At 49.0% G+C, this 14,745-nt stretch overlaps 1 protein-coding gene across 11 annotated transcripts in view, besides 1 other annotated feature; it reads left to right on the top strand.

The window, feature by feature from the left end:
- GLYR1 (glyoxylate reductase 1 homolog) overlaps nt 1-14,686 on the top strand; it is a 44,086-nt gene extending 29,400 nt beyond the window's left edge. For 3 of the 11 annotated variants that reach the window (NR_136699.2, NR_136697.2, NR_136695.2), the window contains 8 exons: nt 192-291; nt 3,242-3,352; nt 4,051-4,152; nt 5,641-5,803; nt 6,087-6,266; nt 6,595-6,719; nt 12,579-13,367; nt 13,741-14,686. Coding sequence is in view for 5 of the 11 variants with exons in the window: in NM_001324097.2 (NP_001311026.2) it covers nt 192-291; nt 3,242-3,352; nt 4,051-4,152; nt 5,641-5,803; nt 6,087-6,266; nt 6,595-6,719; nt 12,579-12,653 (856 nt within the window). In the remaining 6 variants the exon portion in view is untranslated. Of the gene's footprint in view, nt 1-191; nt 292-3,241; nt 3,353-3,933; nt 4,153-5,640; nt 5,804-6,086; nt 6,267-6,594; nt 6,720-12,578 lie in introns of all 11 variants that reach the window. The other 8 variants (NM_001324097.2, NM_001324098.2, NM_032569.4 and 5 more) reach the window with 4 other exon arrangements.
- Nucleotides 12,907-13,201: an enhancer, noted in NCBI's record as "tiled region #4562; K562 Activating DNase matched - State 5:Enh". NCBI's record gives its function as "activates a minimal TATA promoter and a strong SV40 promoter by Sharpr-MPRA in K562 cells {active_cell/tissue: K562}" and the evidence as "EXISTENCE:reporter gene assay evidence [ECO:0000049][PMID:27701403]".

Genomic DNA, 14,745 nt, shown 5'->3' with positions numbered 1-14,745 from the left:
ACCATGGCATAAGAGAAGACCCATGTGCATGACGCCCCTGGCTCTGCAGGTAGATTGGCCACTGCTGTTTCTGGCAGTCTGAATTCCCCTACCCCAAGCTGTATAAGGGAGCGAGCCTTGTGCTGCATGGAATCATCATCACCGTGACCCTCCCTTTCCACCCTGAACTCATCAGTCTCTCTCTGTTTCAGGATAGGATTTTTGGGCCTTGGTCTCATGGGAAGTGGAATCGTCTCCAACTTGCTAAAAATGGGTCACACAGTGACTGTCTGGAACCGCACTGCAGAGAAAGTAAGCATTCAGGGGTGGTGCCTGTTGGATCGGTGGAGTCTGGGGTAACCCTAAGAGTGGACATCTCCCCCTGTTGTCTCAGCGTTCTGCGTGCAATAGAATAGAAGCCAAGCTTTTAGTCCAGGCAGGTAGAGATGTAGATGCCTAAACTTAGGATGTTATTATAAAACCTAAACATTTGCCTGGCGCGGTGGCTCACTCCTGTAATCCCAGCACTTTGGGAGGCTGAGGCGGGCGGATCATGAGGTCAGGAGATCGAGACCATCCTGGCTAACACGGTGAAACCCCGTCTCTACTTAAAATACAAAAAATTAGCCGGGCGTGGTGGCGGGCACCTGTAGTCCCAGCTGCTCCAGAGGCTGAGGCAGGAGAATGGCATGAACCCGGGAGGCAGAGCTTGCAGTGAGCCGAGATCGCGCCACTGCACTCCAGCCTGGGCGACAGAGCAAGACTCCGTCTCAAAAAAAAAAAATAGAAAATACAAAAATTAGCTGGGTATGGTGGCGTTCACCTGTAGTCTCAGTTACTCAGGAGGCTGAGGCAGGAGAATAACTTGAATGTGGGAGGCAGAGGTTGCAGTGAGCTGAGATCGTGTCACTGCACTCCAGCCTGGCAACAGAACAAGACTCCGTCTCAAAAAAAAAAAAAAATGGCACAATCTCGGCTCACTGCAACCTCCACCTCCCAGGTTCAAGTGATTCTCCTGCCTCAGACTCCCAAGTAGCTGGGATTACAGGCGCGCGCCACCACACCTGGCTAATTTTTTGTATTTTTAGTAGAGAAGGGGTTTCACCATGTTAGCCAGGCTGGTCTCGAACTTCTGACCTCAGGTGATCCACCCGCCTTGGCCTCCCAAAATACTGGGATTACGGGTGTGAGCCACTGTGCCTGGCCCACAAGTAATTTTTTAAAAGAAAACCAGAAGAAAATAAATACTAACATAGATCTTTGTAAATCTAGAACTAATAAAAATCACACAAGAAGATCAGTTGATTTTTTTTGATAATACTCCCCAACAACAAAAAAATAAAATTCAAAGGAATACCAACTAGAAGTACTTGTAGCAAATACGTAAGAAGGGTAATATGTTGCTTTTATTAAACATAGTTTGATAATTAAGACAAAAAAATTAGTAGGGTGCTAATTAATAATTTTAGATCTAAGAATAGGCTCACACCTATAATCCTAGCACCTTGGGAGGCTGAGGGAAGAGGATTGCTTGAGTCCAGGAATTTGAGACCAGCCTGGACAACATGAGACTCCATCTCTACAAAAAATAAAATATTAGCTGAGTGAGGTGGCACCTGCCTACTATAGTCCCAGCTACTTGGGAGGCTGAGGCCAGAAGATCTCTTGGGCCCAGGAGGTAGAGGCTGCAGTGAGCTGTGATCATACCACTGCATTCCCACCTAGGCAGCAGCAAGACCCTGTCTCAGAAAAGAAAAAGGACAAAAAAATGGCTCACAAAAGAGGAAACAAAGGCATAAAAAATATTCGGTAATCAGGAGTAATTAAAATATATCAAACAAGGCCGGGTGCGGTGGCTCATGCCTATAATCCCAGCACTTTGGAAGGCAGAGACTGGGGGATAACGAGGTCAGGAGATCGAGACCTCGGTGAAACCCCGTCTCTACTAAAAATACGAAAAATTAGCCGGGCACAGTGGCGGGCGCCTGTAGTCCCAGCTACTCGGGAGGCTGAGGCAGGAGAATGGCGTGAACCTGGGAGGCAGAGCTTGCAGTGAGCTGAGATCGTGCCACTGCACTCCATCCTGGGCGACAGCGAGACTCTGTCTCAAAAAAAAAAAATGAAACAGTTGCCTTTTTTGACTGGTTAAATGATCAGGTAGGAAGAATTTTACATGTATTTATGGGCACTTATTTGTAGTTTTTAAATTACATACTTGGTACTGGCATAATAGGAGAGCTTGCTGGTGATCTTTATGAAGTGACATAGTCTCATTGGGAAGTCATCTGTCTACATTTGTTGAGAGCCTTAAAACTTTTAGAACCTGTTTTATTCTATTTGTGGAGACCTGAATTTAAAACATAGAGAAGTTTTGTACGTAAAGATGTTTGGTGATGTGATTTTACAATTGAAAGTGGGCTAAGTGTCAAACTACAGGTCAGCCATTAGGTAAATCACAGTATATCTCTCAGTGAAGTTTTCCATAGTCAACCACTATAAACCATAATTATGCCAGAATTATGAAAGACAACAATATAGATAAATGTGAATCATAAACAACATTAAAAGTCTGATAGAAAATAGTAGGCCCATCCAGCCTGGGCAACATGGTGAAACCCTGTCTCTACAGAAAAAAAAAAAAATCACACATGGGGCATGCACCTATAGTCCCAGCTATTCAGGAGGCTGAGGCAGGAGGATCACTTGAGTCCAGGAGGTTGAGGCTGCAGTGAGCCATGATTGCACCACTGTGCTCCAGCCTGGGTGACAGAGCAAAACCTTGTCTCAAAAAAAAAAAGCCAAAATGGTAGTGTTTTTAGGCACTTCCAGAAGTCTTATTAACCTGACAACAGTGTTGAGAAACAACCCAAAAACGAATGGCCACCAGGTGGAAGGCTTCCAGCGACATCCCCACATTCCCAGCAGAGTGTTGATAGCTCAGGGCCACAGCCAGGACAGCACAGCGGGGGCTGGGGAGAGGTGCTACTGTTCATACCCCATTCTTGAAACAGCATACCTTCAGCAGACACTTGTGAAGCAGTTCATCATCCTAGGCACTCGTCATGCAAAAACTGAAGATGGCCAGTAAAAGGCCCCGTGCACTTCCCCAAAAGTTGGGCTCCTATCTCCATGACCCAGGCTCCCGGCCTCAGCCTCCTGCCTTGGTAGGCCGCCAGGAGGCCTGGTCAGCAATTCTCTGGCCTGGCTGGCATGTTTGTTGTGCACTGCCTGCAGCTCACGTTAGGATCTGTGACTTTTGCAGTGTGATTTGTTCATCCAGGAGGGGGCCCGTCTGGGAAGAACCCCCGCTGAAGTCGTCTCAACCTGCGACATCACTTTCGCCTGCGTGTCGGATCCCAAGGCGGCCAAGGACGTAAGGACCCCCTCCCTCCCCTCAGCAACTCCGGGTCACAGCCAGGATTGCTGGCTGGCCTCTTCCCCTCCTCCCCTGCACACCAAGTGAGTGTCCACATGTGGGGGGCTGAATTTCCCATCAGGGGCCATCTCCCATTGTGAAGGGTGTTTGCATTAATTGAATACAGACTTCCTTTAATTCAGATCAAAGAATGAACACTACTAGGGCCCTTGAAGTCTGTGCTGAAATGTGTCTTGAACAGGCTTCATGTGTTCTTGTTGAACTAGAAGCTTTGGAACTGAATGTGCCTTTGGTCCAGGTGCCAAGCTTCTATGTTTAGCTGTCACTGTATTTGTATATTTTAGAAGTTCAAGTGTGGTAGTCATCTTATTAAACTGGTGACTAGCCTAATCCAAGTAAATCCAAAGAAGTCCCCAAAGTAAATGCTGAGGTTTATTCTTTTAAATGGGGTTTGTTTTTTTTTTTTTTTAAATAAAAAGAAATGCACACACTCACATAGATTCTTTTTAAAGATAAATGGGAGCATGCGGGAAGTACTTTTCTATCCCTTGCTTATTTCATTGTTCTTCCCTTTTCAGCTGATAGAAATCAGGAAATGAGCCAAAACAGCAGCAGGATTCTGATCTGAGGTCTGTAGGGCTCCTGAGCATCTGCCCGGGAGCCTGGGCTATTGCTTCTCCCTTGTGTCCCCACAGCTGGTGCTGGGCCCCAGTGGTGTGCTGCAAGGGATCCGCCCTGGGAAGTGCTACGTGGACATGTCAACAGTGGACGCTGACACCGTCACTGAGCTGGCCCAGGTAGCAGCCTTCCTTGGGCTGGCTCTCCAGCATCTTTTCTATCAGAGCCCAAGACCCAGGCTTACAAGAGTGGGCAGTTAAGTTACTCTAGAGCCAAAGCCAGAGAGGGAAGAGGAGAGGCGAGTAGCCTTGGGACTAGCCTATCCCGTGCTCCACCTTCAAACCGCAGCTAGTCTGAACAGCCATGGGCAGTCGCTGCATGGCTGGGATGGGCATCAAGTCCTGGAGCTGCCAGCCTTATGATGAGAAGCAACCCAGGCCGCCCGCCTGGCATTGGGGTTTGAGCAGCTGTCTGCATTTGACACTGGCAAAGCATCCCTCCTCCCCGAGCATCTGGCCCAAATAAGGGAGTGGGGACTTTGGGACCCACATATGTTCTGAGGGGAGGGCAGCATCCACAGGGGAGGTGTGTGTTCAGCCGAGCCATTGACATGGTCACATCTGGTTCTAGTTGTTGGTCTCTAAGAAATTCCAGTCCGGGCGCGGTGGCTCACGCCTGTAATCCCAGCACTTTGGGAGGCCGAGGTGGGCGGATCACGAGGTCAGGAGATCGAGACCATCCTGGCTAACACGGTGAAACCCCATCTCTACTAAAAATACAAAAAAATTAGCCGGACGCGGTGGCGGGCACCTGTAGTCCCAGCTACTTGGGAGGCTGAGGCAGGAGAGCGGCATGAACCCAGGAGGCGGAGCTTGCAGTGAGCTGTGATCGTGCCACTGCACTCCAGCCTGGGCAACAGAGCAAGACTCCGTCTCAAAAAAAAAAAAAAAAATTAGCCAGGCATGGTGGCGGTTGCCTGTAGTCCCAGCTACTGAGGAGGCTGATGCAGGAGAATGGCATGAACCCGGGAGGCAGAGTTTGCAGTGAGCTGAGATTGCGCCACTGCACTCCAGCCTGGGCAACAGAGCAAGACTCTGTCTCAAAAAAACAAAACAAAAAAATTCCGGCCAGGCGTGGTGGCTCACTCCTGTAATCCAAGCACTTTGGGAGGCCGAGGCGGGCGGATCACAAGGTCAGGAGATCAAGACAATCCTGGCTAATATGGTGAAACCTGTCTCTACTAAAAATACAAAAAATTAGCCAGGCGTGGTGGTGGACGCCTGTAGTCCCAGTTACTCGGGAGGCTGAGGCAGGAGAATGGCATGAACCCGCGAGGCGGAGCTTGCAGTGATCCGAGATCGCTCCACTGCACTCCAGCCTGGGCGACAGCGAGACTCCACCTCAAAAAAAAAAAAAAAATTCCAAGTCAGTTGGGTTCCTGTGTGGAGACCCCAGCGTCTCATCACTGCTGTGATTCGGCCTGTGTGACCTGCACATGGTTAGCTCCTGAGTTTAGGTGTCAGCTAAAGGACCTTGGTATGGGTGGCCGTCCCCTCCAGCTCTGGAAGGTGATGAGCAGCCGTGGCCACTCAGCAACACTCCTTGAGTCCTGCCCAGAGAGCGCTGGGAGAGGGGAGGCCTCCAGAAGCTGTGACTTTTCTTTCCAGGTGATTGTGTCCAGGGGGGGGCGCTTTCTGGAAGCCCCCGTCTCAGGGAATCAGCAGCTGTCTAATGACGGGATGTTGGTGATCTTAGCGGCTGGAGACAGGGGCTTATATGAGGACTGCAGCAGCTGCTTCCAGGCGATGGGGAAGACCTCCTTCTTCCTAGGTAACACGCCTGCACCTGTCAGGCCTGGAGCCTGGGGCCACATCTCCTCTGTTTCACACTGATGACAGCGTCAGTCCCACACGGCCTTTCTGCCGGGGACCCTGGGGAAGGTTTCCTTTCACCTGCATAGTCAGTGCGTGGAAGGAGGAAGAGCCAGTCTGTCGGGGGCAGGTGAAGGGGGCCTCCCCTGGAGAGAGGTGGGTCTGAGCAGAGGTGAGGGTGGACAGAGAAGCCCTGTCTGTGGCATTCTTGGGCTGTGACCGTGAGTCTTTACCCTGGGCAGGTGAAGTGGGCAATGCAGCCAAGATGATGCTGATCGTGAACATGGTCCAAGGGAGCTTCATGGCCACTATTGCCGAGGGGCTGACCCTGGCCCAGGTGACAGGCCAGTCCCAGCAGACACTCTTGGACATCCTCAATCAGGGACAGTTGGCCAGCATCTTCCTGGACCAGAAGTGCCAAAGTGAGTTGTTTTTGGCCCCTCTTCTTGCATTTGGTGTTTGATTAGAGCAGGGTACTAGGTCAGGGATTTAGTGAGCGTGAAAGATGCCCCTCCCCAGTCAGTCCCTGACCCTGGCCAGAGGAGGTTCAGAAACACAGTGGGCGGGATTTGGGGATATAGGCTGGGAGCTGCAGCCCTCAGGTGTCTAAGGGTGAGTGAGGAGCCAAGAGGCCTAGGCTATGTGGAACTGAGCCCTGAGTATGTTTTAGGTACTGACACCTGGTGGACCGTAAGTAGTTTTTAGTTTCAGGTCCTTGGCTTTTGTCTGATACTGGCTTTTTCTCCTCAGATATCCTGCAAGGAAACTTTAAGCCTGATTTCTACCTGAAATACATTCAGAAGGATCTCCGCTTAGCCATTGCGCTGGGTGATGCGGTCAACCATCCGACTCCCATGGCAGCTGCAGCAAATGAGGTAGGGTAGATGTGGCCCAAGCCCCAAGGCCCTTCAGTTTCTTTTTCTTTCTTTTTTTTTTTTTTTTAACGGAGTCTCACTCTGTCACCCAGGCTAGAGTGCACTGGTGCGATCTCAGCTCAATGCAACCTCCGCCTCCTGGTTTCAAGCAATTCTCCTGCCTCAGCCTCCTGAGTAGTTGGGATTATAGGTGCCCACCACCATGCCTAGCTAATTTTTGTATTTTTAGCAGAGATGGGGTTTCTCCTTGTTGTTCAGGCTGGTCTCGAACTCCTGACCTCAGGTGATCCACCCGCCTCTGCCTCCCAGAGTGCTGGGATTACAGGCATGAGCTACCACGCCCAGCCATTCAGTTTCTTTTTCTTTTTCTTTTTCTTTTATTTTGAGACAGAGTCTTGCTCTGTCGCCTCAGGCTCTTGCCACCACGCCCGGCTAATTTTTTTTTTTTTTTTTTTTTTTTTTTTTTTTTTAGTAGAGACAGGGTTTCACCATGTTAGCCAGGATGGTCTCGATCTCCTGACCTCGTGATCTGCCCGCCTCGGCCTCCCAAAGTGCTGGGATTACAGGTGTGAGCCACTACACCTGGCCAAGTTTCTTTTTCTTTTATCGTTTCCTTCCCTCTACTTAGTTTAGCTTTTCTTTGTTCTTTTTCTTTTTTTTGAGACAGAGTCTCACTCTGTCGCCCAGGCTGGAGTGCAGTGGTGTGATCTCAGCTCACTGCAGCCTCTGCCTCCTGGGTTCAATAGATTTTTGTGCCTCTGCCTCCCAAGTAGCCTCCCAAGTAGCCTGGGATTACAGGCGTGCCCCAACCCGCCCTGCTAATTTTTGTATTTTTAGTAGAGATGGGGTTTTGCCATGTTGGCTAGGCTGTTCTCCAACTCCTGACCTCAGGAGAGCCACCTGCCTCAGCCTCTCAAAGTGCTGGGATTACAGGTGTGAGCCACTGTGTCTGGCCTCTTTGTTCTTTTTCAAACCCTTTAAAGTGGAATCTTAAATCATTTATTTTAATCCTGCTTTCTTTATAACATGAGTATATAAATCTTTAAATGTCCACTAATCCGTGTTAATTTGTTTTCTGATTTCTTCTTTGATCCATGAATTACTTAAAAGTTTATCTAGTGTTTGGGTTTTCCTAGATATCTAATGATTATTGATTTTTAACTTACTGCTCTATGATCAAAGAACATGCCCTGCCCTGTATTGGGTTTTTTTTGTTTTTTTGTTTTTTGTTTTTTTGTTTTTTTTGGAGACAGAGTTTTGCTCTTTCGCCCAGGCTGGAGTGCAGTGTCGCGATCTCGGCTCACCGCAACCTCTGCCTCCCAAGTTCAAGCGATTCTCATGCCTCAGCCTCTTGAGTAGCTGGGATTACAGGCACACACCACCATACACAACTGATTTTTGTATTTTTAGTAGAGATGAGGTTTCACCATGTTGGCCAGGCTGGGCTTGAACTGCTGACCTCAGGTGATCCGTCCACCTCAGCCTCCCAAAGTGCTGGGATGACAGGCATGAACCACCACAACCAGCTGCCTGTATGATTTTTTTTTTTTTTTTTTTTGAGACGGAGTTTCGCTCTGTCACCCAAGCTGGAGTACAGTGGCACGATCTCGGCTCACTGCAAGCTTCGTCTCCCGGGTTCACTCCATTCTCCTGCCTCACCCTCCTGAGTAGCTGGGACTGCAGGCGCCTGCCACCATGCCTGGCTAATTTTTTGTATTTTTAGTAAAGACGGGGTTCCACTGTGTTAGCCAGGATGGTCTCATTCTCCTGACCAAGATGTTGAAACCCCTATCTCTACTAAAAATACAAAAAATTAGCTGGGCATGGTGGCAGGCACCTTTAATCTCAGCTACTCAGGAGGCTGAGGCAGAGAATTGCTTGAACCTGGGAGGCGGGAGGTTGCAGTGAGCCTAGATCGCACCACTGCACTCCAGCCTGGGCAACAGAGTGAGACTCCATCGCAAAAAAAAAAAAAAAAAAACGAAAGCTGCTACAGCCTTCTCAGGCTTATTGTTTTCATGGTATGTATATTTTTCCATCCATTTCCTCTCTTATTTATGTCTAAATTATGGCTTTGATAGACAGTATGTAATTGGGGTTTGGATTTTTATCCATTTTGACAGTATCTGCCTTTTAATTAGCATGTCTATTAGCATTTTTCAAATGATGTTTTAAGCACTTAACACGTGCACTTTTTTTATATTTGAGACACAGTCTCACTCTCTTGCCCAGGTAAAGTGCAGTGGCACAATTATAGCTCACTGCAGCCTTGACTTCCTAGGCTCAAGCAATCCTCCCACCTCAGCCTCCCGAGTAGCTGGGACTATAGGCGTGCACAACTGTATCCAACTTCACATACACTTTCGAAAAGCTTTTTAGGGTAGAAGTTCCGCTTTCTTAGCTCATCTTCATAGAATTTGAATCTAAAAAAAAAACAACTGAAAAACATTTGTCTTTACCATATTATTATAATAAAAATGACACTTTGTGAAACAGCAGCTGTATTTTTAAAGTACTATCAGCTGATACACTTTTATTTTATGTTATTTTATTTTATTTTATTTTATTTTAGAGACCGAGTTTCACCCTTGTTGCCCAAGCTGGAGTGCAATGGTGTAATCTCGGCTCACTGCAACCTCTGCCTCCTGGGTTCAAGTGATTCTCCTGCCTCAGCCTCCACAGTAGCTGGGATTACAGGTGCCTGCCAGTACTCCTGGCTAACTTTTTGTATTTTTAGTAGAGATACGGTTTCACCATGTTGGCCAGGTTGGTCTCAAACTCCTGACCTCAGGTGATCCACCCACCTCAGCCTACCTAAGTGCTGGGATTACAGGCGTGAGCCATGGCACCCAGCCAGTACTGTTCTTTTGACACCTGGCTTTTCATAGTATAATTCTCTGTTCCTGAATTGTATTTTTTTTTTTTTTTTTTTTTGAGACAGAGTCTCACTCTGTTGCCCAGGCTGGAGTGCAGTGACATGATCTCAGTTCACTGCAGCCCCCACCTCTTGGGTTAAAGTGATTCTCCTGCCTCAGCCTCCCAAGTAGCTGGAACCGCAGGCATGCACCGCCACACTTGGCTAATTTTTGTATTTGTAGTAGAGACAGGGTTTTACCATTTTGACCAGGCTGGACTCGAACTCCTGGCCTCAAGTAATCCGCCTGCCTTGGCCTCCCAAAGTGCTGGGATTACAGGCATGAGCCACCGCATGCAGCCTTGTTCCTAAATTCTGTCTTCTGTCTCTTGTCTGTTTCAACATTTCAGAGTACTTATTTCATGACTCTTTCAGATTACATTACTATTTCAAGTCCCCCCTGTTCATTCTACCAGTGGATTCTCTCTGGATAGTAGAATTCGTTGTGTATTTTATAAGTCTTTTTTGATGAAAGCTCATTTCTGACTATAGTTATTTCCCAAGGGTTTCATGTGGCTTGGGCTGGGAAAGCTTCTCTTTGAAGTGACTTCCAAGTTGCCTCCACCCTGACTACAGGATTCATTGGCTTGGAAGCAGAGTTTTTAGGTTAATTTCTCAATGCAGCTCGCTGCTTTCAGGTCGTTTGGATGGTATGAGCTTAGACTCTATACTGTTAGGAGTTCAGAGGTTAGGTTCTGAAGGTTAACTGGTGCATTGACCTTTAGTAGTTGTATTGATATGTGGTTCAATTTGGGGCTGCCATTTTATCATTTGATTTCTGTTCGTTGTCTTTGTCTTTTGTTTGTTCCTCCTTTCTTACTTTCTTTTTAGAATTCCAGTTTCAGCTGGGCACGGTGGCTGACACCTATAATCTCAACACTTTGGGAGGCTGAGGCGGGCAGATCACCTGAGGTCAGGAGTTCGAGATCAGCCTGGCCAATATAGTGAAGCCCAGTCTCTACTAAAAATACCAAAAATTAGCCGGGCATAGTGGCGGGCACTATTAATGCCAGCTACTCCGGAGGCTGGGACAGGAGAATCACTTGAACCCAGGAGGCGGAGGTTGCAGTGAGCCGAGATCGTGCCATTGCACTCCAGCCTGGGCGACAGACCAAGACTCCGTCTCAAAAAAAAAAAAAAAAAAAAAAGGGGCCAGGCGCAGTGGCTCACGCCTGTAATCCCAGCACTTTGGGAGGCCGAGGCGGGTGGATCACGAGGTCAGGAGATCAAGACCATCCTGGCTAACAGGGTGAAACCCTGTCTCTACTAAAAATACAAAAAATTAGCCAGGCGTGGTGGCGGGCGCCTGTAGTCCCAGCTACTCGGGAGGCTGAAGCAGGAGAATGGCGTGAACCCGGGAGGCAGAGCAGAGCTGGCAGTGAGCCGAGATCACACCACTGCACTCCAGTCTGGGCGACAGAGCAAGACTCCATCTCAAAAAAAAAAAAAAGAAAAAAGAATTCCAGTTTCATTTATCTATTTTCTTTTTTACTTTGCCTCTGCATTCTTTTTTTAGTGGTTACTCTACAGATTGCGGTATAAATCCTTAAGATAGAGTTAATCTTGCCAGGCACAGTGGCTTATACTTGTGATCCTTGTAATCCTAGCACTTTGGGAGGTCGAGGCAGGGTCGAGGCAGGGTCGAGGCTTAAGCAAGCCCAGGAGTTTGAGACCAGCCTGGGCAACATAGCAAGACCCCCATCTGTACAAAAAAAAATAAAAAACTAGCTGGGCGTGGTGGCGAGCACCCTATTCCTAGCTACTTGGGAGGCTGAGGCAGGTGAGGCAGGAGGATTGCTTGAGCCCAGGAGTTCGAGGCTGCAATGAGCCATGATCCTACCACTGCACTCCAGCCTGGGCAACAGAGCAAGACCCTGTCTCAAGAAAAAAAAAAAAGACAGTTAATCTTGTACCATTTCCCATTAAATGTAAAAACTTTGCAACCACACAGAAGCATTTCTTTCCCCCTTCCTCTCCCTCATCCTTTAAGGCAGGGTTTCTCAACCTCGGCACTGCTGCCATTCTGTGTGGGGGGGCTATCCAAGCACTGCAGGATGTTGGGTAGCCCACCCACCAGACGCCAGTGACATAGCTCCTCCTCAGGTGACAGAAAATGTCTCCAGATATTACCAGATGTCCCCTGGGGGCAGAAGCACCACAGGTGTGAGAACTCTCACTCTGAGGTATAGGTGTCCTGGGTGTTTCATCTGCCCTTGTTTTATTTTTTATTCATTTATTTATTTATTTGAGACAGTTTTGCTCTTTTTTTGTTTTTGAGACAGAGTCTCGCTCTGTCACCCAGACTGGAGTGCAGTGGTGTGATCTCAGCTCACTGCAACCTCCGCCTCCCAGGTTCAAGCTATTCTCCTGCCTCAACCTCCTGAGTAGCTGGGATTACAGGCACCTGCCACCATGCCCGGCTAATTTTTTGTATTTTTTTTTTTTAAAGAAGGGGTTTCACGACGGTCACCAGGCTGGTCTTGATCTCCTGACCTCGTGATTCACCCACCTTGGCCTCCTAAAGTGCTGGGATTACAGGCATGAGCCACTGCGCCTGGCCCTAATTTTTGTATTTTTAGTAGAGATGAGGTTTCACCTTTTTGGCCTGGCTGGTCTCGAACTCCTGACTTCAGGTGATCCACCCACCTCGGCCTTACAGGCATGAGCCGCAGTGCCCGGCCAATGCTGAATGTTTTATATCCCATAGTGTATTTCATTCTCACAAGATCCCCCGGGTACTGTTCCTTCTCCCAGAGCAAGAAGCACAGTGGCTGAGGTCCAGAGAAACGGAGGTGCTTCATGCAAGGTCAACACAGGATTCCTAACCGGACAGCCTGGGCTCCAGCACTGCCTGCTGGCCACATCCACCACTGCCTCCAGGAATCAGGTCTAGGTCTTGAAGGCAGCTCTGGGGCCAGAGACTGAGCCATCTCTTTTTTTTCCAGGTGTACAAAAGAGCCAAGGCGCTGGACCAGTCTGACAACGATATGTCCGCCGTGTACCGAGCCTACATACACTAAGCTGTCGACACCCCGCCCTCACCCCTCCAATCCCCCCTCTGACCCCCTCTTCCTCACATGGGGTCGGGGGCCTGGGAGTTCATTCTGGACCAGCCCACCTATCTCCATTTCCTTTTATACAGACTTTGAGACTTGCCATCAGCACAGCACACAGCAGCACCCTTCCCCTGAGGCCGGTGGGGAGGGGACAAGTGTCAGCAGGATTGGCGTGTGGGAAAGCTCTTGAGCTGGGCACTGGCCCCCCGGACGAGGTGGCTGTGTGTTCACACACACACACACACACACACACACACACACACACAGGCTCTCGCCCCAGGATAGAAGCTGCCCAGAAACTGCTGCCTGGCTTTTTTTCTTCCGAGCTTGTCTTATCTCAAACCCCTTCCAGTCAAGGAACTAGAATCAGCAACGAGAGTTGGAAGCCTTCCCACAGCTTCCCCCAGAGCGAAGAGGCTGTAGTCATGTCCCCATCCCCCACTGGATTCCCTACAAGGAGAGGCCTTGGGCCCAGATGAGCCAGTACAGACTCCAGACAGAGGGGCCCTTGGGGCCCTCCAACCTCAGGTGATGAGCTGAGAAAGATGTTCACGTCTAAGCGTCCAGTGTGCACCCAGCGCTCCATAGACGCCTTTGTGAACTGAAAAGAGACTGGCAGAGTCCCGAGAAGATGGGGCCCTGGCTTTCCAGGGAGTGCAGCAAGCAGCCGGCCTGCAGGTGAGCATGGAGGCCCGGCCCTCACCGCCTCGAAGCCATGCCCCAGATGCCACTGCCACAGCGGGCGCTCGCTCCTCCCTAGGCTGTTTTAGTATTTGGATTTGCATTCCATCCCTTGGGAGGGAGTCCTCAGGGCCACTAGTGATGAGCCAAGAGGAGTGGGGGTTGGGGGCGCTCCTTTCTGTTTCCGTTAGGCCACAGACTCTTCACCTGGCTCTGAAGAGCCACTCTTACCTCGGTCCCCTCCCAGTGGTCCCACCTTCTCCACCCTGCCCTGCCAAGTCCCCTGCATGCCCACCGCTCTCCATCCTCCCTCCTCTCCCTCTTCCTCCCGTGGAGACAGTATTTCTTTCTGTCTGTCCCTTTGGCCCAGACCCAGCCTGACCAACGATGAGCATTTCTTAGGCTCAGCTCTTGATACGGAAACGAGTGTCTTCACTCCAGCCAGCATCATGGTCTTCGGTGCTTCCCGGGCCCGGGGTCTGTCGGGAGGGAAGAGAACTGGGCCTGACCTACCTGAACTGACTGGCCCTCCGAGGTGGGTCTGGGACATCCTAGAGGCCCTACATTTGTCCTTGGATAGGGGACCGGGGGGGGCTTGGAATGTTGCAAAAAAAAAAGTTACCCAAGGGATGTCAGTTTTTTATCCCTCTGCATGGGTTGGATTTTCCAAAATCATAATTTGCAGAAGGAAGGCCAGCATTTACGATGCAATATGTAATTATATATAGGGTGGCCACACTAGGGCGGGGTCCTTCCCCCCTCACAGCTTTGGCCCCTTTCAGAGATTAGAAACTGGGTTAGAGGATTGCAGAAGACGAGTGGGGGGAGGGCAGGGAAGATGCCTGTCGGGTTTTTAGCACAGTTCATTTCACTGGGATTTTGAAGCATTTCTGTCTGAACACAAAGCCTGTTCTAGTCCTGGCGGAACACACTGGGGGTGGGGGCGGGGGAAGATGCGGTAATGAAACCGGTTAGTCAATTTTGTCTTAATATTGTTGACAATTCTGTAAAGTTCCTTTTTATGAATATTTCTGTTTAAGCTATTTCACCTTTCTTTTGAAATCCTTCCCTTTTAAGGAGAAAATGTGACACTTGTGAAAAAGCTTGTAAGAAAGCCCCTCCCTTTTTTCTTTAAACCTTTAAATGACAAATCTAGGTAATTAAGGTTGTGAATTTTTATTTTTGCTTTGTTTTTAATGAACATTTGTCTTTCAGAATAGGATTGTGTGATAATGTTTAAATGGCAAAAACAAAACATGATTTTGTGCAATTAACAAAGCTACTGCAAGAAAAATAAAACACTTCTTGGTAACACAGCTGTGCCGCAGGAGTCCTGCTTCCCTCGTCCTCGGCGAGATGGGTGGGAGGAGAAGGC

Source organism: Homo sapiens, chromosome 16 (assembly GCF_000001405.40).
Source record: "Homo sapiens chromosome 16, GRCh38.p14 Primary Assembly".
In the NCBI taxonomy this organism is placed as follows: domain Eukaryota; kingdom Metazoa; phylum Chordata; class Mammalia; order Primates; family Hominidae; genus Homo; species Homo sapiens.
Note: the sequence above shows the minus strand (reverse complement) of the source record. Positions and strands in the feature narration are given on the sequence as shown.